The sequence below is a fragment of the Homo sapiens genome, chromosome 8 (genome assembly GCF_000001405.40).
Source record: "Homo sapiens chromosome 8, GRCh38.p14 Primary Assembly".
Taxonomy (NCBI): Eukaryota; Metazoa; Chordata; class Mammalia; order Primates; family Hominidae; genus Homo; species Homo sapiens.
Genome location: NC_000008.11, coordinates 123,935,523 through 123,960,339, shown reverse-complemented (window position 1 = coordinate 123,960,339; position 24,817 = coordinate 123,935,523). Strand labels below are relative to the sequence as shown.

The 24,817-nt window shown below is 43.7% G+C and overlaps 1 protein-coding gene across 7 annotated transcripts in view; it reads right to left on the bottom strand.

Moving 5' to 3' along the window:
• The window catches only part of FER1L6 (fer-1 like family member 6), a 268,075-nt gene that overhangs the window by 159,722 nt on the left and 83,536 nt on the right, over positions 1-24,817 (bottom strand). For 3 of the 7 annotated variants that reach the window (XR_928347.3, XM_011517231.3, XM_011517235.4), the window contains exons 2-3: positions 7,871-7,909; positions 4,266-4,348 (exon numbers count right to left, since the gene is read on the bottom strand). Coding sequence is in view for 6 of the 7 variants with exons in the window: in XM_011517231.3 (XP_011515533.1) it covers positions 4,266-4,348; positions 7,871-7,909 (122 nt within the window). In the remaining variant the exon portion in view is untranslated. Of the gene's footprint in view, positions 1-4,265; positions 4,349-7,870; positions 7,910-16,707; positions 16,854-24,817 lie in introns of those variants that run through there. The other 4 variants (NM_001039112.2, XM_006716618.4, XM_011517232.4 and 1 more) reach the window with 3 other exon arrangements.

Sequence of the window (24,817 nt, the reverse complement as noted above, 5' to 3'; positions counted from 1 at the left end):
TAGTGTACAGCAAAGCCTGAGAACTGCTTCTCAACCAGACTTTCGGCAAAAACGAGAGTGGCTGAGCCTTCCTAATAAACCGAGAGACTCTGCATGATGTAGCTCAAAGACCTGAATCCAAAAGATTTGGGTTCAAATTCCAGTCCTTCCACTTTCTCGTTCTTTGATTCAGAGAAGTTACTTCTCTCAGCTCCGTTTTCCTCATTTGTAAAACAAGACAAGGTTAACATCATTTACCCCCCTACAGGTTAGGAAAATTAAACAAACTATATAAAGCCCCTAGCTTTATACAGGGTCCATGGTAGATGTTCAAGTCTATGTATTCCCAGTTGGATGACTTGAACAAGTCACCCAGAATTTCTTGGCATTTTTTTCCTTGCCCGTAAGACAAAAGAATTGGGCAAGAAAAGTGATTTTAAAATTTGTTAAAGCAACAGAATCCTTTTATAAATGTAACTTGATATGGAACTTCAGTATATAACACAAGCCTGTTTATATCACACTGTTTTATGTTCCATGGAGTGGAATAGGGACAGTGGCCTCCTGCAGACTCTCATAGCCACCACCTTCAGACACTCCTGAAGCCATGGTTCAGGATCCCAGGGATCCAGGGGACTCACCTTTTAAACCCATCAATTTAATGCTTTCTAAGGTACCTTCCAGCTTTGGTGCATTTTGGTTCGCTGATTTTAAACAGCAAACCACACACAACAGTACTGCATCCAAAGAAACACAGCCATGTTCAGGGAGCTCATGCACCTAGGCCAGGCCTTGTAGGTGCTCAGTAGCTACAGAGAGGATCTCTTCATGAATGGAAGTCTGCTTTTATTACCCATTCACTCAGGAAATGGAGACAAGTACAGCACTGCAGAGCTGCCAGAAGGAATGCCAGTGCCTGGCTGTGCTCCTTGAAGCAGCAAGATAAAATACCTGCTCCCCTCCTTGACTGCAAGGGCCTTCAGGCTGGGGCCTTGCTGTCGAGTTTCAAGCTTCCAGTGAACGTTCAAAGACACGTTATATATGCAAGAAAAGGTGCTAGAGTAGATGCTGAGGATGCAGGAATTAGCAAATCACATATGCCTCCCTCTAGGGGCGTTCATTCTGTACATTCTGTAGGGTGAGACATCGAGGTAGAAAGGCAGTCAGCTAAAGCTTCTTCTACAGCACTCATTCACTAATTTATTGAGTTACTGCTTTGTTCTCTTCAGTCTACTCACCATGGGCATCCAGGGTGACCTTATAAAAACCAGACCGTGTCACTTTTCTTAAAACGCCTCAATGGCTTTCCATTGCACTTAGAATAAATCTGAAGTCCATACACAATCTGCAATTAGGGACCTGCTCCATCTGGTTCTGCCCACGCTTACTGCCTGCGTGGCCCTCTCACCCACTTTATGCGCTCTATCCACAAGGCCCCCTTTCAGTTCCGTCGAATCTCACAAGCTCTCTGCTGCTTGGAATTTTTCACAGGCATCCCTCCCCCTGCACTGCTCTCCTCCCTGCCCATCGCCCAGTGGGCTCCCTCTCATCCTTGAGGTTGTAGCTTAAATGTTACCTCCCCAGAGAATTCTTCTCTGACTGCACTAAGAGACTCCCCAGCAGTCTCCATTTCAGCCCACTGTCTGTTTTGGGTTTTTTTTTAATAGCACTTTACTCAACTTGCAATGCCATTAGTTACCTCAGTCATAGTCCCAATAGGTAACAGATGGTACAATCAGAGTAAGGTGATTTGAGGACGTTTTACAAAGATGTTTATGTAGGAATACCACAAAAGATCTTGCCATCATCTGGGGCTCGCAACAGCCAAGCTGTTGCCACTCCTAGGCACCCCCCAAAATTAGCAGAGAGAGAGAGCAGTTACTGGAACCCCGAAGGAAAGGAAGTCTGGTGGGGTCAGCCTCCCTCCTGTAGGTGAGGGACAGGGTCACCTGGAGCCTGACCCATGCTCCTCCCTCCCACGCCTCCTGCTGGAGCACCCCATTGGCCAGAGCCAGCCCAAAGGCAGAGGGTAAGAGACCTCGGCCATGCCCCCATAGAAGACAGAGAGCAGCTGGCTAAGGGTGGAGAATAGATCCGGAGGGGCAAACAGAAGAGTCCTGAACAGAGCTGTCCTCCCCTCGGACCATCCAGTCTTTGCCATTAGATTCCCAGAATTTAGCCCAGGGCTGACACTTAAGACATTCTACTAATATATTTTGAATAAATGGACAAAGGGATGATTGTGGGAGGTACCCAATAACTATTTGTTGTGTAACTAATCGCTAGGTTAGGGTAGGGTAAAGAGAATTTTAAGAATTTAAGATGTAACTACAATGCCTCAAAATACACAGATGAAAAAGCAAGAGACTTAGAAAGTTTCCAAACATTTCACCCCAAACAGCCCTAACTTTCCAGGCCAGGCCAAGAAGGCAAGACCAAAGTCTCTGTTCTGTGGGCTTTGTTTTTTCAGTCTCCCACAGGGCTGGCCTGTGGACAGCAGGATGGATGCTGTTTACTTTCTAGGAGGGCCCTGATTCCTCCCTGCCCTGTTTGCTTTGTGGGTTGCAGACTTTAAAATGAGCCACAGGAGCAAACTCCTCTGAAATGCCTGTGGTCGACTGCCCTAGGTATCCGCCAGCTTCTCAGGGAGGGCTGTTAACTGGAGGCTGCCCATGGGGTAGGAAACCCAGGCTCTGATGTAAGACTCACCTGGGATCGGGAGCCAGCTTCTCCATTTATTAGCTGTGTGACCTGGGGCAAACCACTCACCTTCTCTGAACCTCTGTTATAAAATGGGGGCAAAAGAATCTACTTTTCAGAGTCATGAATGATGTATGTTAAGAAAAAGCAGCAGAGACTTATTAAATATGTCATAAATACTAGTGTTCACAAGGTCCTAGAGGGAAAGGACTATGCCTTATTCAACTTTGTGTCACAGGGCCTACCACAGTGTTACAGTTTCAAAGACACCAGGAATAACCCCAAAGCCTTTCCACCCACTCCCTGGAAGTTTCATTGAATCAACAAGGACTTTTAAGCTTTAAGCCTTGTCCCCACTGAAAATGCAATGTCCCTCATTTTCTATCCAAGGCTCTTAATCATTATCAATACCTGGGTGTTAATGAGTTTCCATACTTTTCTACCATAAGGATAGGTTCTACCTAAGGGCAAGGAGTGAAGTTAGGTACAACATATGGCTACAGGACATCTGCAGTAGATGGCAGTGAAGCAGGCCTCCCAGGAGACAAGAGGAGTGAAGATTAACGAGACCCACGGTACCATTTTGGTTTAGGAATGGTCCAGAAAACTAGCCTTGAGCTGCTTTTTAATCAAGGCTATGCAGCAGAAGTCTCCAGAGGACCACCCCATCTGTCCACTTGGAAACCACTGATCCAATTTAATTCAATAAACACTGAGGATCTACCCAGTGCTGGGCCTGGCCTCTACTGATGCAGTTCACCCTGTAACTCAAGACTTTGCCCTTTTGGAGAAGGAGGTATCCCATTCTAAGAGCAGAAAGTGAGACAGCCTGGATTTACATCCCAACGCTGTTGCTTCCTGGCTGTGTACCTCCCATGCTCGGGGCCAGCCGGCTTCATGGATATGTGGTCTGTGCAGCCATAAAGGACCCTAAGCTCAGAAGAGCCTCATTGCACTTGGCTTAAGCTCTGCGGTCACCCTCTTGACACTTTTAATAACTTAACAACTGCTGTGCATTTTTATTTTTCACTGGGCCTTGCAAATTCTGCAGCATCTCTTCCACACTTTATTTACTCTCTCTTTATCTCTGTAAACTCACTTGTAAAACTAGGGTGACAATACCTACTGCGAAGATGATGGAGGGATTCAATGAGATGTTGTGTGTGAAGCCTCCCCCACAGTAACTGTGATCCTCTTATTTTCAAAATCTTGCTTGATCTTCCCCACAGCTGTGTGAGATCAGCCCAGCAACCCACATCATTACATTAGATAAAGGAGAAGCTGAGACTCAGAGCCACTCATCCTACGTCACAGGACAAATAAGAACAGAAACAGAGTTTGAACCCTGCTGCTGTTTTCTCACAGGGACCCCTTACATGCCCACTCACCTGTTTGGCCCAGATGACCAAGGGCCTTGGGGGTTGTCTTGGGCCCACACCTGTGACTAGAAGGACCTAAAGGGTCGGGGGCAGCACATTCACACTCCCCCTCGCTCCCATTGAGAGAGAACTGCATTTTCAGCCACGGAGGGGTCACTCTGCGAGACTCTCAGGCCCCAATGGTCAGCACCCCACCCCCAGCCTCACCTTTCGCAGCCTTGTTGGCTAGGATTAACCCCTTCTCTGCCTTATTTCTCTTCTTCTTCACCTTCAGCCCAAACATCCCCTTTCTGAAAAGAAGAAAAAAAAAGAAACAATAAAAACTTTGAGTCATTTAGACGTGTTAGGAGAAGGTAAACACAAAAACACACCGAGCTTCATGAAGCCCACCAGCCTCCTCATCCACCCAGGATGAGGGCAAAAGACAAGTATCAGCAGCACCCAACAAGCTCTCCAGGGAGCTCTGCTTTTGCAGAAACCACAAAAATCCCACCCGAATTGGAATCGTGAGGTCCACCTGGAATTGCACGTAGGCGAGGCAAACTGAATACTAACAACACTAGCTGAAATTTCTATTTCTCCTGGATCACCAGGCACTCTGCTAGGCATAAAAAAGCAGTCACATCATTTATCACCACAGCAACCCTCTCCTGCCCACCTTACAGATGAGGAGCCAAGGCCCAGAGAGGCCGGGCAATGTTTCTAAGGTCACACAGTTCTGAGCATCAGAGCTACCACTGGATCCCAGGCCTGCCTGATTTCAAAGCCCAGGGTCTAACCACTGGGCAGCCAGAGCCTGTCCATTCCCTTCAGCAGAGTAAACACCATCACCAGACCTGGGCTCTCGAGACCAAGGTCAAGAAGGCCTGGAACTTACTGAGGTCTCACCATAAGCGCACAGCTCAGCTGGCACATGACACATGCCCAGAAGGTCCACTGCTATTATTGTTATTGTTAGCCATAAGCAGGAAGCCATTTCCAAGCCTCCTTCTCTCCCCACCCACTGCAACCCCCAGATGGAGTCTTGCTCTGTTGCCCAAGCTGGAGAACAGTGGCGCGATCTCAGCTCACTGCCACCTCCACCTCCCGGGTTCAAGCAATCCTCCTGCCTCAGCCTCCCAAGTAGCTGGGATTACAGGGGCCTGCCACCATGCCCGTAAGCCTCCTTCTCATTACAGGAAGCTCCCTAGTCCATGGTCTCTGACAGACAAGAGCATTCCTAATGCTCTGCCAGCCTCCTACAGAACCCCTTTCTGAGCTGGGGGACTGCTGAGAACAGGGCTCTGGGGCACAGATGGATGAAACTGGGCTGGAGGAAAGTCCTGGCCTTGATGCAGGCAGCCTGGCCAGCCCTGGAGAGAGGAGGGGAAGGAACAAGGAAGTGAACATTTGGAGGCGAAGGGAGGAGACGGCAGCAAAGGCTCAAATCCCATTCAGTGAATATCTGTGGGCCTTGAACGTGAAAAGCAGCGGAACAATCACAGTCTCCCATTTTGCTTATATGTTTAGGACTTAGGATGTGTGGAGTGCAGTGGTTAAGATCAGCCTCCACAGTTGGACTGCCTCAATTCTAATCCCAGTACTATCTCTGCAACTTTGAACAGGTCACTTAGTCTCTCTAAACTTCAGGGTCCTCATGTGTGAAATGAGATAATAAATGGAAAGTATTTAGCACCGTACCTGGAACATACTATTTCCTCAATAAACCTTAATTATTCTTATTGTCCTAAGGGTAGGATTAAGACCAGTGAGTGGAAGGCTCTAGGAGATAGATGTTCACTCAACTCATTCACTTATTCTATTCACTTATTTGCTCACTTATTCAATGTATGTCCTGCTTTTTTTAATTCAGATAAGGAATTAAGGAGCTCCCACATCAGTGCTGTTTGAACAGTGGAGTGAACTACTTTGCAAGGAAATGAGGTTCCAGTTCCTGGAGGCATGCAAGCAGAGGCCTGAGAACCACTGTTAAAGGATGTTGTAGAGAAGACAAGGCATCAGAAGGGGGGACTGGCCCAGGGGAATTCAAGGATCCTTTGAGACCCTGAGATACATTAGGATGGAAAGAATGGACTCTGAAAGCACCCAGATGTGAACAGGACCCCTAACTGCTTGGGCAAGTCCAGTACCTCCCTGATCCTCAGTTTCCTCCTGTGTATAATGGAAAGAACTACTCTACAGGATTGTTAGAATAAAATGAGGTAATGTAGCAAATCATCTAAGACAGCATCTGGGATATAGAAAGTGCTAAATAAGTGCCCTTCTTGGAGGTAGCATTTTCCCCCTTTGATTTGCCATCATCCTCTGATGAGAACATCATCCTAAATCTCCCAGGAATCTCTGGAGAACATACACAAGGAGGACTTCCAATAATAGTTTTCACTATTCTGTTTTCAAAGGGTCGTTCCCAAGCCAGGGACCTAAAGCTAGTACCTTCCCAACCCCGAATCAGCATTTATGGTCCCCAGGTGCCCCCTGCCATGAGCAGTTCAAAGAGGCAGAATCTGATGTTCCTGGGAACGTGGCCATTGGGCTCTGGAGGCTGCTTGAAGCAACTAAATGACTTCCATCCATAAATAGGGAGTTGCTAATAATAAAAGACAGTATCTGCCGAGGGAGACATAAGGTTCCTTTCGGGAGCTGACATCCTCGTCATGGGTAGCCTCAGCGTTCTGAGTTCTCCTGTAGGGAAGCCAGCGCCTGATGCATTGGGGCATGGCTGAAGACGCTGTCATGGGCTGGGGAAGAGGACGAGATGCCCCACCTTGTAGAGACAGGCACCCCTGCCCTTCTGAAGCCAAGAGCTCTGGACCCTGCTGCCCATTGGAGTCGCCTAAGGAAGTTTATAAAAATACTGATATCTCGAACCACCTTCAGAGATCTTTAATTACTCTACGGCAGACCCAGTGTTGAGAAGCAGTGGTCTAGGCGCAGCTCAGGCCTGCTGAAGAGTAAGCCAAATAAACTTCCAGGAATGCCCGAAGGATTTACAACCAGCGCGGCCCTCTTGGGTGGGCTGATGTTAGTATCACAAACACACAAGGTTGTTTGCCTGAAACTGTGAGTCAGTCATCAAGGGCACACCCAGCATGACTCCCAGCATGAAAAGGTTTCTTGATGAAAATTGATTTCTTCTCCACAGCCTTGTGACATGGAGCAGTAAGAGGAGGCATGGCTCACCAGCCCAGAATGATGGTGCCACTGGCAGATTGGGAGGTAGAAAATGAACCCGTGACACAGGGTTCAGCTTGGGCACCTGCCTGAATTCATTGTTAGCTCTAGAATTTGGGGTTGGATACTTAACTCAGATGCATATTTCTTCCCATGTGACACAAGGACATTTCTTACCCAATTCACAGGGTGATATTAAAATAGAAAACAATGTTTGTCAAGTGTAAAGCGTGCTACAAAGTGTCACAATATTCATAACAAGGAAATGTGAGTTTACAATTTTTTTACACCTGTATAAAGCACTCACTATGTGCCAGGAGCATCATTTTATACACATTATCTCCTAGGATCCCCACAGCATACCACGAGGAAGATGATGTTATGCTTGCTGACAAATAAGGGGATTTCAGGGGTTTCCAGACAATGTATTGGGATCAACCATCAAATCAGGAAGACTTACCTGGTAAGCCACTAAGGCAGCTGCCACCACATCCCCAACCACCTCTACTCTGCAGAGAATTCCAGCATGAGAACCCTCCCACTTCACAAAAAGTATAGGGCTTTCTGGTTTAGGATCATAATATCCTCCCAGGGTCATCCCCAAGATAAGGCAAGAGGTACACAGGAACCCTCATACCAACCTGGTCTCCTCAGGGTGAAAGCTACTGCGACTCCGATATCTGTATCCAAACAATAAGAGCATTAAATGAGGCACATGTTAGATTTGCTCAGCACATCTGTTCAGGTGGCATCACTCAGTGTTTAACCACAAGGCCCGCACTGCAGGGAGGCAGCCAGCCTGGCACAAGAAAGAGGGGCTGGACTGCTTGAGTGTGGGTCTCATGTAGGCCACTTTCTAACTGTGTCACTGGAGCTGGCCCTGGGACTTCTCTGAGCTCCAGGCTCCTCTTCTGTTCCTCTTGTTCAGGAAGTGGCCATAAGGTTAGTTCTGCTTTTTCTCACTGGGATGTTACATAGATGACCTTATTGATCCCTCATGCTGAACTATTAAAAGCTGTACACGTAGCTAATGTAATGTCATGTCCACCGCTCGGCAAAGCCAGGATTAGAAAATTGCTCACAGCCAGAGTTGCCACGTGTTCTCCCACTTGTGTCACCAGATTCCCCTTCTGGAATCACCTTCTCCACCTTCACTGCAGAATGGAGGCAGCTCAGGCCAAATGGCCAAACACTAAGTTACTTGTGTCAACAGCATGCCCAGTACTGGCCCATGCTGCTCTCTTCTCTACCTAAGAGGACTCAGGATACAGGTTACCTGTGCACCTCACCTTCCAAACCCAAAGCCATAACACCCAGTACGGGGCTGGGGAGGGCAGGGGGCGGACTTTAGCTGAGAATTTATTTATGTGAAATCATTACAAACTTTAAAAATTATATTTATATATTTGATGAATTCTTTCCATCCAAAGAATAAATTTGTATGTAATGAGGTCTAGCTTAAAAACAAAACAAAATCACAAAATTTTTCCACCATTCAAAGGTTATCTTAAAAGCCTTTGGGTAAATTCCCAGTAGCCTGACGGGAAATATCTTCTTGAGGATGTCCTATCTGGGTCCTCATCTTTCTAAGACTGGGATATATTCATTAACGGCAAACCACTACACATAGAAGCAGTTGTGTTGCAGAATTCAATAGAAATTGTTAAAATATAGACCCATGTGACTACTCTGCCTTGCCATGCCTCTGTAAGTTCTCTCTCTCCATGATTTTCTTATCAAAACTTACCTATTCAATGTTCTATTTCATTAAGGCAATGATGCCCCAACTTTGGCTACACATCTAATCCATATGGGGGTAGCTTTCTAAAACTGTGCCCCACACTTGACCAGATCCCATCCCCTAGGGTGTGATTTCATTGGTCAGTGATGGGACAAAGGCTCGGTGGTTTTTGAGCTCCCCTGGTGATTCTAATGTGCCACAGGTTTACAAACCCTTGTGGTTAAGTAGACAGTACCAATGAGCTATCCTCTCAAAGAGAAATCTAAAGGAAATTTAAAATAATTTCTTAACCAAAAGGAATTATTAAATGTATTAAATTCAGAGCCTTTAGTAGATACATTTGCATAGGCTGCACTTTATAATCCACGTCTACTTCCTTTCCACTCAACCTCAACCCCTACAATTAGCCCACAAAATTGGCTACCTTCTCTATTTATGCACAGGATTAGCTCAGCCTTGGAGGAACAGAATGCTCAGGTTCAGGAGAAAAAGAACAATCCTCTTCTGGATCAAAAATGTCTCAAGCAAGGCTAATGGCCTGAATGGATGGGCCCTGGCTCCCAGTCTCACGGGAGGCAGTTCATTCTTGCATACTGTGTTTTGGAAACCTTTATCTCATTGTGATAGTAGGTGGATGTTTCTGTGTTAGCCCCTAATTTTGTACATTATAGTCCCCTCAAGCATTATAATGAGATTCAAATATCACAACTCAACAAACAGTGATTGAGAATCTTAATATTTCACCTGCAAGAGTCAGCTGAGTCTAGGAAATACACCTCCAAGGATGCTAATTAATTCCTCTTCCTTTGGCTTCTCTGAACCAAGAATGACTCAGGAATAATTCAGAGCCACACTGTGTAAAGCCCATCCCTATTAAGCCAGCCTCTCATAGCCCTTCAGAGAAATGTGCTAAGTGTTCAAGGGCAAAATGGCAAGAGGGCAAGGCTGTAGGACTGCCCCAGGAAAATGGAGGCATTATTCTTGCATGCTTCCTGCCCACCCTGGGGCATGCCAACGGTGCCCACAATAGAAACAATCCTCCAAGGGTTGGGGGATCTTTTTCAGCCTGAGGTCACTGGCCTCCATCTTCTCCTGCTCCTCACCCTCTACAGCTAAGCATCAGCACATCACACATGACCGCGCTATTTAGAGTGCAAGGAAAATAGAGAAACAAATATTGGCAAGTCAAGTCAACAATGCAGTACAGATAGGACTACTAGACGCCCCCACCGCAGCCTAAGACTTCCTCTTGCCTGGGCGCCGAAGAAAATGGTTCGTCTTTCCTATTCCATCTTCTTAATATCCAGGCTAATTAAAGCCCTGCTCTCCACTCTCCTAAACATCAAGAAATCAACCTTTAAGCCAAACATAGACTACAGACCACTTCTCAGCACTTGGAACAAGCAGCTCTTTCTCCCTTTGTCCCAGCATAAATGAATCTTCAAACTCCTATCTTTTTTAGGCTTTCTGCTTTTCCTTTACTCCCCAAACCTTCTTCCTCCCATATATTGCTTGATTATCTTTTGGTGGAATTATTAGAGTACGGCATCATGTTTACATTCCTCACTTGGGAAGGGCTAAGGTCCAAAGCTCTTATTCCCATGTGGTCTTTCTTCCTTTGGGTCTACCTGCCCACAGAACATTTGTATTCTTCTTTCTGCTCTGATGTGCAAGTGGAAGTAACCACTGAGCAGAGCTTCTCCTCCCTGCAGCTGAGTGGGCAAGTCCATATGATTCAGAGGGAAGTATTTGAAAATCAATCTGGACTCTAGTCCAAACAGCTTCCTCCAATTGAGCTTCACCAGCAATTGAGGTAGTATTTTGATCCCTATTTGATGTCTGGGTTTCTTTCTCAATTGGTTTTGAATGTCTAGGGTAAAGAGAAGGGTATGTTTATAACCTCAGGAACACCAATACACTGACCCATAACAGATTTTATTACAAATGGGAATCATTAAACTTCCTAAACTTACTAAGAGAGGATCTATGGAATTCCTCTGAACCTCATTTTTTTTTTGATGCTGTGGACATTGGAAATAGGAGAATGGGTGCTATGTTAAACTAAATTAAATTACTACCTTTGCTGCAGGATTGTCAAAGCCACAATTGTGCACTGTGACTCTCCAAGAGGGTGCTATTCAGACTTTTCCAAATGGATTTGACCACCACATCTTTATCATTAAATATCTGTTAATATCTTCAAGAACACTACTTGGGACTTCAGAGAAGGAGAATCCTGGCAACTTTTAGTGTTCCTTTTCCTTTTGAAGCTTTCCTGAGATGAGCAATGATCAAGTAAGAATGACTGGGGAAACAGAGGAACCCAGGACATCTCTCCCATGCATTCCCTCCTCTGTGTCCACATGGCTCCTGGTGCTAGTGCACACTTCACTGGACTTTCTGCTTCTGTTCTCTCCCTCCTGAAACCTACTCTCTATTCCACAGCCATCTTTGCAAATCAGAGGAACAGAGAATTTTCTGAATCTGACAAACAATATTTACAAAAGTCCTTGAGTCAGTATCATACCAATATCATATATCATATCATATCATCATGTAAGATGTCCTCTGATATTTAAAAAAAAAAAAAGACAAGATGCCTGCTATTTCCCGTCTATTTAACACTGCACTGGAGGCCCTGACCAATTCAATAGTGTCTGTCTAGTTTAATTACTAACTGAATTTAGCAGGATACCTAGAAACAAAGTCAATATATAAAAGTCAGTTGTACCTCTTTATACAAAAACAAAGAATCATAAATTAAAATTAGAAATAAAAGATTTTATAATAGCATCAAAAATTCAAAAACTCAGGAATAAGTCTAAAAAATATAAACAAGACCTATACTCTGGAAATTACAAAATAAGATGAATGAATGAATATTCCATGCTTGTAGATTGGAAAGTGCAACATTAGAAAGAGGTCAAACTTCCCCAATTTGATTTGGAGATTATTTACTACATTTCCTTTGCAAAAATTTTCAATTCATACACTTAAGATTTGTGGGTATGGCTTTTTATGTTCATATGTTATGCTTCAAGATTTAATTTTTAAAAAGCATAGATTTTCAGATTGAAAGCCCTGGCTTTGAGAATCAGTACAGCCACATGCTAATTATGCAACCTTGAGTAAATCCTCAACCTTGCTGTGCCTCAGTTTCTTCATTTGTAAAATGGAGGATAAGTTATGTCTTACAGGACAATCATGGATATCAAATGAAATAATAGAGACAACATACTGTTTGCAAACACTAAAGTGTTATATCCTACACGTTAATTAAATTTAAAAACCAGCTCAACCTATTATGAATGTCTCTTAGGGTTCTCCACACTATAGCCTCAGTTCACCAACACAGCACCTGATCCTCAAACCATGTACTCCAGCCTGATGGACAGCTCCTCCTAAACTCACACACTCTCTTGTCCACGAACCATTGCTCACCGTAGGCCTTCCATTGAAGGGGACTTCTCTGATCTCTACCTAGCAACACCCAAATCTTTCTCCTAGGCCCAACTCAACTGCCTCCTTTGATGTGATGTGTTCTCCAGTTTTGCAATGGAGCAACAAGTCACTCATTCCTCTGGACTCCACTAGCACTTTGTTCTTATCTCTATTATATACTTATCACATGGATCATTACAGCTACTTGAAAAAACATCCTTCTCCTTTATTAGATGCTGAGGTTTTGAAGGCAACAATCATGCCTAGTTTACATATGTACCCTCAGTATCTAACACCATGCCTGGCACACAGCAGGGCTCAATGAATGTTGAATTATGGATAGATGAATGGACAGATGGAGTCTATAGATAGAAAGCTCCACAAGAATTCAATAGAATTTCTTTGGTCCTGTTTAAAAATGAATCATATAACAAGAAAAGAGTTAAACATCATTCCAAGAATGAGAACACAGGCAAAAGATAATAATCCTAATATTCATCTTGGAGCTGGGGAGAAAAAGGAAATTGTTCACTCTGGGGCCTGAAAAACAATTTGTACTCTGTTAATAGAGCAGCAGCTTTGGCTGTCACCCAGCCTCAGTTTCCATCCATTTCTTAAAATCACTTCCTTTTCTAATGCATCCTCCTTTTTCTTTCTCTTCATCATCATACCTTTTTTTTTTTTAGACTGAGTCTTGCTCTGTTGCCCTCCACCTCCCAGGTTCAAGTGATTCTCCTGCCTCAGCCTCCCAAGTAGCTAGGACTACAGGCACGTGCCACCACACCCGGCTAATTTTTTGTGTTTTTAGTAGAGACGGGGTTTCAATATGTTAGCCAGGATGGTCTCTATCTCCTGACCTGGTGATCTGCCCTCCTCGGCCTCCCTAAGTGCTGGGATTACAGCACCTGGCCCCTAAATACCTTTTATTGGTTGGCTATTTCTCTACCACCAGTCTCTTATAGTCATTCAAAAAAAAGTACACAGAGCCTTGTTGTGTTCCAAGCACTGCACTAGGCCCTAGTACACTCTGCCATTTTGATCAAGAAGAGATGAAATAATAAAGTCATTTCCGTGTCTTTGTGCAGAATGACTAGAGAAAAAAAATCGAGCTCAAGTAGGAGTTGGAAAAGTTTCAGTTGTTTGAATTGGGAGAGATTATAATAATTAAGCCCAGGTGTCTGCAACAAGGGTTCAGATGTGGGAGGAAGAGAGGGAAGATTGAGTATGTAACCAGGTGGCCCAATGTGGCCACCACTCCTCCTCTCGTACCTGAGGGGATCCATTTTTATGTTTTACATATTAATGAGTTTGAATAATATGTGAATAAACTTAAGTTTTAAAGTTTGAAAACCACTAATCAAAACCAACCTGTGCAGCCCGGGCACCGTGGCTCACACCTGTAATCCCAGCACTTTGGGAGGCCAAGGCGGGCAGATCGCTTGAGGTCAGGAGTTTGAGACCAGCCTGGCCAACATGGCAAAACCCTGTCTCTACTAAAAATACAAAAAAATTAGCTGGGTGTGGTGGTGTATGCCTATAATCCCAGCTACTCAGGAGACTGAGGCAGGAGAATCACTTGAACCCAGGAGGCCGAGGTTGCAGTGAGCCAAGATCTCCCCACTGCATTCCAGCTTGCATGACAAAGTGAGACTCCATCTCAAAAACAAACAAAACAAACAAAAAACTAACCTGTTCATTAAACAGATAGCAAAATTGAGGTCCAGTCCAGAGAAAAGAAAGAACCAGTTCAAGGTCATAAATCTATTCATTGGAAGAGCTAGTACTTCTGGATGTTCATTTATCCTGTGTTTAGCCACTAGGAATGCTAAAACCTTAGCAAGCATGAACACCCCTACAACGCTTCCTCTCTAAACCTAGGCCCAGTGACCTCTGATAACAGATACACTTTGAATCCCATTCAGTCAAAATTGACTTTTTTCCCAACAGAGTTTTACTTCAGAACTCCGGTATATTACATAAAATGTTCCAAGGGGTTAAAAGTGATAGCCTAATTATTTTTCTGTATATACTAAAGACATATGAAAGGAAGTTCATATCTGTTAAAAGCAAAAGCAGTTCAATGCTGAAAATGAATATGTTATTTCAAATATGACTCGCAAAGAATCTGACTTTCTTTGCATGTTTGAGTTCTTTAATAGCTTCTATAACCAAGAGGAGGAAAAATTTACTTCACTCAAGCTAATTAGTTCCAAGAATAAAAACCTTAATTAGCACAGTCAAATGAAGCTCTATAAATCAGTTAAAATTTGCAATATAATGAGGCAACTCAGTGCAATTGCTCACAAAGAGCTTCCAATCATCCATACCTCAGACATGACTTTAAAAAAAAGTAACCGCCAGAAATTTATTGCTTCAGTTTTCATTGATGTCCTGCATAGAAAAAAATAAACCTGAAGGCTCATCTATCAACCCATGAAATCAAACATAACTTTGAAGGCATTTTGGAGAGGCTTTATAAAAACAACTTATCTTCAGTGAGCCTTTTGTGTGGGATTTACAGGGCCCCCAAAACAACAGAATCCCATCAAACCTTCTCTCCCTCATTGCACAGGCTCTGCTCAGGTTCTTTATAAATTATTTTTGCAGAAGCTGAAGTTGGAGCCTCTTGAACAGGAGGAGGAGTTCAGTCCTGTCAACTTCTCCAGGAGTCACTATCCTCGGGATTTCAGCCTCAGCTCAGGGTCAAGATGTATTAAGTCCCAAATATACAGGGGCTTCCCAGTCTAGTCCTCTCAGTCTCAACTTGGAAACACAAAAGGAGGTCTAAAGTCATGCCTGGTCTCAGGCCTTGAACTCAGGGAACACAATAAAGATTTGCTACTGAAGATGATAAACTCACCAACTGCACAAACAATGAGGAAAGCTTCATTGATCCCCAATCTATGATGGGAGCAAAGTCAGAAGTGGAGAAATCCATATATTGAACTTATACATAAATATGACGCAACACTCCCTGTTCCTGCTGAAAAGCTCAACTTATAGAGAGATATGTGTCACATATGTAAAACAAGGAGAAGGATGGAGCCAAGACCCTGAGTAGATAAACTGTGCCTACAGGTCCTATTCATACAACACTTTACACTCCTCCAAGCACTTTGCCATATATGGAACCCTAGCAGAAGCCCTGTGAGGGAAAGGAGGCTGGTAGTATTTTCACAGCATACTGGGTGAGACACAGGCCCAGGTCTGGTTACCCTGTACCTCATATAGTGTGTGACCTAGAGCAAAATGCGTAACTTCTCTATGCTTGTAATTCCTCATCTGTAAGATGGGTATCAAATAGTACCTACCTCATAGAGTGCTAAGGATTGAGAGTGTGTGTACGTGTATGTGTATTTATTTATATATATATATAACTTACCTCCTGGCATATGAAAGAAAATAGTTACTATTCTTATTTGAAGACAAGAAAACTGAGGCTCTGAGAGGTTAGGCAACTTGCTCAGTTACCCAGCTATGAATTGGCCAAGCTGAGGGCAGAGCCGGGTCTTCTTGTTATTGACTGAATGCTTCTCCTTCTACACCACACTGGGATTGAGCCAATATACTTGTTCACTATATATTTGATAATAAAATGGATGAATTTATGTGTTAAATATATATTAAATATATAATATATATAATAAGATGAATATATTTGTTAAATATATCTAACAAATATATTCATTAATTTTATTATCATTATTCAGGTTGCTCTGGGACAGTCATCATAGCTACCATTCATTGAGCATGTAGAATGAGCCATGCATTGGGCTAAAAGCTCTATATACTTTTTTTCCACTTAATCCTTCCATCAGCCATCTGAATGGGGTGTTTAATCTCTTTTTCAGATAAGGAAATTGTAGTCTAAAAGGTTAAGAAAACTGCCTAAGGTCTCAAGGCTTCAGTAAAACCCTGACCCGTCAGATCTCTACTCTATGTTACCTCCTAGATATCAATCACAGCCACCATTTTTCAAGCACCTAGTCAGAGTAGTGTACCATCCAAATGGTACTTACCAAATGCAGAACACCTCACCTCGGAGAGGTTAGGGAACTTGCCTAGAGCCACACAGCAGTCTGACACCCAAGCCCAGCCCCTTTGCCCTCTGTCTGCATCCTCATCCATGATGGCCCAGGTTTCTAAGGACAAGCAGAAGAGTGGCATCTCCAAGGGCTTCCAGAAGCCCAGGCTGCAGCAAAGGGTGTGGACAGAGTTCGATAATGAGAAGCAGAGCAACAGACCTCACCTCGACCAGCAAGGCTCCTGACTGTGCCCAGAAGCACTCATACTCACCAGCTTCCTGGACCCCAGGAGGTCGGCCCAGCAGGAAGGGCAGCAGCCACCACTGTCTCGGAAGAAGGAAAGCTCCCTTTGGGAATTCAGTGGCTCAGTGGAGCACAGCAGGCTACCTCCCAGGAATGTCCTTTCTGTGTGTGTGCACCTGGCAGCTCCCTATCTCTGTTTGAAATTGAGTGCCCTCTGTTCGGGTTGGCTGCCAGAGCCCGACTCTGATCAGCAAACACAGAAGCTCAGAGCAGATCTTGAGAGGAGGGGCCGCCAATATGTTTTATTTCAAGTCAGGTGCAGGTAATTAGAGGTCGATCAAGACTCAAAAGAGCCCTAGCTCCAGACAGTGTCAATGCCCTGGGTCCAGCCACTATCCAGACATACTTGGATTTTTAATCATGTTCACCACCCCCTGCTCATGTTTTTACTGTTTATTTCACTATCATGGTTAACATTTATTGAGCACTTTACTTTTGGTAAGTTCTAGCTACCTTTACAAGTGTTATCCTATACAAGCTCCACAACAGTCTTCAAAGGCAGTATTGTTATTGTACTCAATGTACAGATGGCAAAACTGAGCCACAGAGAGATTGGTACGTGCTGGGATTTGAACTGAGGCCACCTGGCCCAGAAGCCTGTGCTCTCCAGCCCTCCAGCCTGCTGCCTCCACTCTATGGCATATCTTTGGGACCTGTATTCTGAGGCTATTTCAAAAAGGTCAAGTTTGTCAGGGAGAAAAATGAATAAAATAAGTCATTTGGATGGGTCAAATACCTCTGAAACCACCTGTAGTGAATTGAATAGTGGTTCCCCTAAAGATATATCCACATGTTGAAACCTGTGAGTGTCCCATTATTTACAAAAAGAATCTTTGCAGATATAATTAAGGATCTTGAGAAGACACTCTCCTGGATTACCCAGTGGACCCTAAATCCAATGACAAGTGACCTTTTAAGATACATAAAAGGAGAAGACACAGAGAGGAAGACACTGTGGAGATGGAGGCAGAGATTAGAGTGATGCAGTCACAAGACAAGGAACAAAGGAGCCACCAGAAGCTGGAAGAGCCAAGGAAGGATTCTCCCCCATCGTCTTCATGATCCTGCCAACATTTTTGACTTCAGACTTCTGGCCTCCAGAACTGTGAGAGGATGATGCTGTTTGAAGCAGCCATGTTTGTGGCACATGGCCAAGGCAGTCCCAGGAAAGGAATACACTGCCCCTTGTCCATTCCTCTAGCACGTCTTTATGGTGTCATGGAAAAGGAAATGCTGGGCCCTCTCCATTGTGCACCTTTGTGTTTTAGGTATGGTGCTGGGACAAGAAGAGGACCTGGCGGTGAGGGCTGAGAGGCCACCCCTGTGGGCTGGCAATGGTGTAGGAGCCTCTAAAGTGCAGAGCACTGAGGAAGGAGGCAGCATGAAGTGTGGGGAGGGGTTGGGGAGAAGGTTCTGCAGGTACAGACTAAGCAGTTAAATAGTAGCTCCCAAGGCAGCCTCGTAAACATCCCCAACTGAGCTGCAATCCTCCACTCCCTATGTATCATAAAAAGACATGCAAAGGAAGGGGCCTGGGCTCAGGGGTTCACAGACAGAGTGGGTTCCCTAGCGCATCCCTCCCTCAATTTTCCATCATGATAGAGTTGATTCCACTCGGAATCAAAGATGGTCAGAGTTGTTGAATTCCAACCTCACATGTTACCACTGGGGGAAGTGATTATTTAAAAGATGAGGTGGTCCGAGGGTACACAGCTGATCATGGCACTGCAAGAGCTGGAACCCCTAATCCAGTACCCTTTCAAGGTAGCCAAGCCTCCTTCCCTCGTCTGCTCTGTTCTTTAAATTCTTCACAAAAACAAGATCTCATGGCAACTCTTATCAGAGTTCAATAACTCCACGGAGTCCAAAGCTTTCTAAAGTTCAAACCCCTCTTCCCAGAATTTAAGTTTATTTCTCCTTTTATTTTTCTGCAGAATTGTATCCTTACCATGATCCTGCTGTGTGTGATCCAGATACAGTACACATATCAACAGAAGTCATCTGGCTACACAGTAGACATCCAGTAATAAGGATTATTGATGGCACAGCACAGGAAAATACCAAATGGACCACCCTGTACTCAAATCTCTCTGCTTCCTCTCCTACTGCATCCCTGTGGTTTGCTCTGGCCACACCACCTTCCTTCAGTGACTCGACTGGAACATGCTCCCTCCCTCCAGATCTTTGCACGTGCTCCTCTCTGCTGGAATCCAAATGCCCCTCACATACCTCTTTCTCTGGTTAACACTGTCCCATCCTTCATGGGCCACTTAACATCACATTCTCAGAAAAGTCTTCCCTGACCTCTGTGCTTTCCCCACCAGACTAACCAGGTACCCTGGTTCTATCTAAGCTCTCCAGGTTCCCAGAGCTTTTTCCTTTCATCACTCATCATAGTTTGTAATTTTATTTATGTGATTTTTTTCCATTACTGTTCACTTTCATTATTAGACAAAAAGTTTCATTAGGGCTTGAGTTGGTTTACCCTTATCACCCCAGCACCCAGCATGTAGTAGACATGTGTAATTCATTCCTAGGTTCACACCACAAACGTTTATTGAACAAAATACTGAGCTGGTATAAATAAATATACAAAAAGAAACAGACAAAACTGCCACCCATCAGGAGATTAGAGCCAAACAGAAAAGCTACAGTCAACCTTTTGAGAAATTACCCCATTACAAATCTCCTCCATGCCTTTCCTTCCCCTCTTTCCCTGTGCTTGTTCCTTAAACATTTAGCCCTGACTAGGATGTTCCCAAAGCAGAGAAAGGATGATTTGGTAAAACTTAAAGCATTCAATGCCAACAGCTCTGGGAAATAAGCTTCAGGAGTAGGGGGTGATGCCCTACAATTATCTAGGATAAAGTTTGGGAATTTTCTTTACAATTCAATTAACATCAGAATTATTTTAGAGATGCAAAAGACAGATCATATTACAAAGCAAAAAGATGTGAAACTCTGAGCAGGTGCAGTGGCTCACACCTGTAATCCCAGCACTTTGGGAAGCCAAGGTAGGTGGTTTGCTTGAGGCCAGGAGGTCAAGACCAGCCTGGCCAACATGGCAAAACCCCGTCTCTACTAAAAATACAAAAATTAGCCAGGCTTGGTGGCACGTGCCTGTAGTCCCAGCTACTCAGAAGGCTGAGGCAGGAAAACTGTTTGAACTTGGGAGGCGGAGGTTGCAGTAAGCTGAGATCGCACCATTGCACTCCAACCTGGGTGACGCTGTCTCAAAAAAAAAAGTTCTGTAACTCTTCCCCTAGCCCTCGTCCCTCTTCCAGGAATAATGCCCTTACCATGAACTGCTACACAGGATCCAGATACAAGGGCAGATTATATCAATACAAATCCACCACCACCCTCCCCCATGCTCTGCCTCCTGCCAGAGGGAATGCATTTCAGTGTCTACAATTGTTATCCCACCTACAGCCTTAGTCACAGAGTGTTTCCTTGGAGAACTCACAACAGTTGTTATCGTAATTTAACAAACATTTAATGAGTGCCTATTAGATGCCTAGCACTGTGGTTGTCCTGTGGGAAATCCAGGGCAATGATGAATAAGACACTGCCTTTGGGTCAAGAGCACAGTGCCATGCTAACAGCTGATACACTTGAAAAGCCTTTAGCCACCCCATAATAATCCTATTTCTGGAATGCTTTGTAAGTTGCAAAGAGCTTTCATTTGTAGCTATGTGAGGAAGAAAGGACAGGTCCCCCATTTGATACAGTAACTGTTTAGGTTCCAGAAGCCTTGAGTGACTTATTCTAACAAGGGGTGCAACTGGAAACAGGGGTGGTCATGAAAGTATGCCGCTCAATCTCCAGCTACAGGGAGCACACGCTGACTGACAGCTCCAGCTGCTGAGTCTTCCTGCCGGTCACTGCATCACACTGAGGCCATGCATCCTATGGGCTAAGCACAGCAAGCAAACTAACTCAAGTCCCTTCCTGCAAGACATGAGACTCCTCTAATGGGTGACTTGGGACACAAGACTCCCCAACGACCTGCAGGAAACTTTCTTAGAAGATTCTTTCTAGGCAATTTTCCTTCCCTTCTCTGTCACAGGTGTCAGACCCACAAAGCCTAAAGACCCTTCTTGCTTGTCCTGCTCCTTCCCCTTTATGCTCCCCGAATAAATCTCCAGCACTTCAGTAATGTCATCTTGGAACCTGCTTTTTGGAGGACCTAACAGCACTCTAATCCAGATCTTGGGATTCACAAATAGACCTTCCACTAATAAGGAGGCTCCATTTTGAATTGCATTTTGAAAACACTGGGGTAAACCTGGTCTCCTAGGACTTCTTAGACTTAACAATATGTAATAAAATTTATCAAAAATACAAAAGTACCACAGAATGTCATGGTTCCCAAACTGAATGGACAAGATGTGTTATTTAGCTCACCTCAGTGGAGACTGGAACATTGGTTTTTCACAGGTCACAATTTGAGAAATGCTGCCAAGCCCCATCTTCCAGCAAGTACAAACCTATGCTTCTCTTGGCATTACTACACAGCCTCAAAACTAAGGGTTTGATATTTTCTTCCCTTGCTATGCTCAGATGAATGTGCAATGCAATTGCTGAAAAGCAGGCAAAAAAAGCAAGTGACCCAGGCAACCCTCGAACAGTGTACTCTTCCCTTGAAGAATAAAAAAGTAATTATCTATTATATTAAAGCTTTGTTTGTATTTTTAGAAAATGTGATACTTTTGGATATTTGAAATAGGTGTCATCTCAAGAGACAGGTAAAGGCTGGGCGCCATGGCTCACACCTGCAATCTCAGCACTTTGGGAGGTCAAGGCAGGTAGATAGCTTGAGCTCAGGAGTTTGAGGCCAGCCTGGGCAAAAGGGCAAAACCCCATCTCTACTAAAAACACAAAAAATTATCTGGGTGTGGCAGTAGGCACCTGTAGTCCCAGCTACTCAGGAGGCTGAGGCACAAGAATTGCATAAACCCGGGAGGTGGAGGTTGCAGTGAGCCAAGATCGCACCACTGCACTTGAGCCTGGGTGACAGAATGAGGATCTGTCTCAAAAAAAAAAAAAAAAAAAAAAATTTCAGGTAAATTGTATAAGCTTTTAAACAAGCAATGGATTCTAAGTTATCTACAAGTTTTAGCACTGGACTTATTATTGTGGGCATTACCCAGTAGATCATGTTAAAAATGGTTCCACCAAATGTCAAAAGTCAGTGACTGAACCTCAACTCCCATTCATGATTCAACACCTGAATGAAAAGGGAGTAAATCCAGTGATGCAAGTCATGATGTAGCTTTTCTGTAAATTTTCTGGAGATGCAAAAGCTCAAAATGTGTGAAGCTTAATGGGAATATGCATTCCCATGTACCAAGGAGGTATTCCCCGTGTAAACATAGTTAGGTGAGAGTTATCTGAAAGAGCAAACAAGGGTCACCTTAGGGTCAAGAGACTTAAACTGAGCCTCCTCAGGTTTTCCTTCTTCTCTGTCCTTGAAAAGCACAGTAATGAAAAGGAAGTGTTCTTGGTATGATAGGATGGAGGAACTCATTGCTGTTGATGACCTACAATGTAATAAGCAAACACTTCACTGATCAGGTGTCATTAGCCTTCATAATCTTGGCAGTAAGTAGAACTATTTTTAGATGGAGAAATAAGGCCTAGAGCAATAAAGTTACTGGCACAAAATCAGAGATTACGACTGATGTTTCTTAACATCTCTTAGTACTATGTTTTATGCTGTCATCTCTTGGGGTTTTTTTCTTTCCTATATATCTCTGTATATTGCAACATTTGAACAAGGCCCATCAATTACTTTGATATCAGAAAAAAATATATTTTTCTAAAATAGAAAAAGTGAAGCAAGTTTATTATTTAAATATTTGTTGAAAAGCATATTATAAATCTTGTATTACTGACCAATTATCTATATTCGGCCATGAGTACACACAAAAGAATCAGAAAGAAGTTCCTTTTCTAAAGTTGTTAATATTCTAGATGAGAAAAACAAAAGCAATTTTATATGAAAAAATTAATTCTCACAGATTGTTACTGCCTCCTATCTTCTTTCCAACGTGAGTATCAAGGGTTTTATGAGTATTAGGTGGTCTCGGCTCATCCCTAAACCTGTAGGACTAGACACTCAAAGGCCTTTTCTCAGGGATCAGGCCATTCTCGTACTATGTGACCTCACCCATTGGTCCAGCTAATTGGTCCACAAGCCAACCAGCAGTCTTAGAGGTGATCTTTCATAAAATTTATGATAATATCTAGCTAGATAGATAAAAGAATTTAAGTATTTTAGTACGAGGCCTTTCTTGATGAATGGAAGGTTTTGTATTTGTTAATTGACTTCATCTGTTTCCCTCGTTCAGTGAATTAGGATAGAGTGAGCATTATTAAGTGTTCTTTAACAGGCTGGGCATGGTGGCTCACGCCTGTAATCCCAGCACTCTGGGAGGGCGAGGTGGACGGACCACCTTAACGTCTGGAGTTCGAGACCAGCCTGGCCAACATGGTGAAACCCCGCCTCTACTAAAAATACAAAAATTAGCCGGGCATGGTGGTGGGCACCTGTAATCCCAGCTACTCAGGAGGCTGAGGCAGGAGAATCACTTGAACCCAGGAGGCGGAGGTTGCAGTAGGCCAACATCTTGCCTTTGCACTCCAGTCTGGGCAACAAATGCGACACTCCACATCACAAAAAAAAATGTTCTTTAACAGTTAAGACCCTTGTATGAGGATAACCATTTTAACCAACAATGGTCAGGTAAAAGGAGTGAGAGAATAGATTGCATCTGATCTCTGATCTAGGTATCTAATAAATATAAGCTTTTATCAATTGTCAGTGGCTCCCTCGAGAACTGCTTCAGAAAGTTTTGAAGCTGGGATAGATGATTTGTGTCTGCTATGGGCAAGATAAAAAAGAACAGTGGTGTGTGTATTTGCTGACTCAACTACTGAATATCCCCTGGAGTGTGACTTTTGACAGCATGAATGCTACATATCTGCTTTTGTTGTATTAATAGTTACCCTCTTAACAACTGGAGGACCAGAAAATGCCAGGTGATTGTGTCCAAGTACATGAAATGTTACAGTACCCTTAATTTGCCTTAGAAAATTCAGCACTGTTTACAAAAAAAAAAAAAAAAAAAAAAAACAGGCTGCAATTATCTTTTATCTAAAAATGTCAATGTACTTTCTAAACTGTGAGAGCAATGTCTTAATTAACTCAGCAGATAATATAAAGGACCCTGAAAATCAGGTAAAAAAGTAGGACACCACACTGTCGGGGAGGAATCAGCTGCTCTGCATACCATCCCCAGGATTTAGCCTTCTCGTTGAACTTGTCCCCTGAGCAATGTGGTCTATCTTCTGGTTCTATGCTTGAAACAATGGGTTGGGGGGTTCAGAGCAATTTAAAAGCGTATGGACCGTTCACTTAGGCTGTTGGCATTCCTCCTACAGTAACATCAGATCCCAGGGGACATGCATCTGACCGAGAGGTTATTTTTCTTCCCATCCTAATACGCAGGCTTATTCACTCCTTTCCACACCCTCAGCCAACACTGCACAGCTGTTTGAGAAGCAAGTGAAATGCAAACCATCTAGAAGTTCCCAACCCTAGGAAACGCTTTGGAAAAACATTTTCAGATTTGATTTTTTTTTTTTTTTGCATTAGCCAGTTCGCAGGATTTTAAACTCATCACTTTCTCCATTTTCCTTCTGTTGGTCCCCCTTACTGTGCGTTCCCATCTCTACAGACATGACAGCACCAAAAATTAAAATTAGTGCAAGGCAAACAGAATCTTATAGTTGGTCTATTGCTCTCATCATATTGCTCATGAAGCAGAGTAAAAATCACTGGATAAAATCATTTAACTTGTGGTTTTAATTACCATATGCTTTCTGTCTTCCATCACCATGGATACTGCCAGGAGCTGTGTTGAGCGGGTGTTCAGGAGCTTGCACTTCCCTGAACCCATGTGTCTCCTGATCACCAGCAGGGTCTGCACCCAGAAGCCCCTCAGAGACAGCAGTGATTATCCTATGATACATTTCTAGGCACTTCAGTGATGGATAAGGCTAGTCAAAAACCT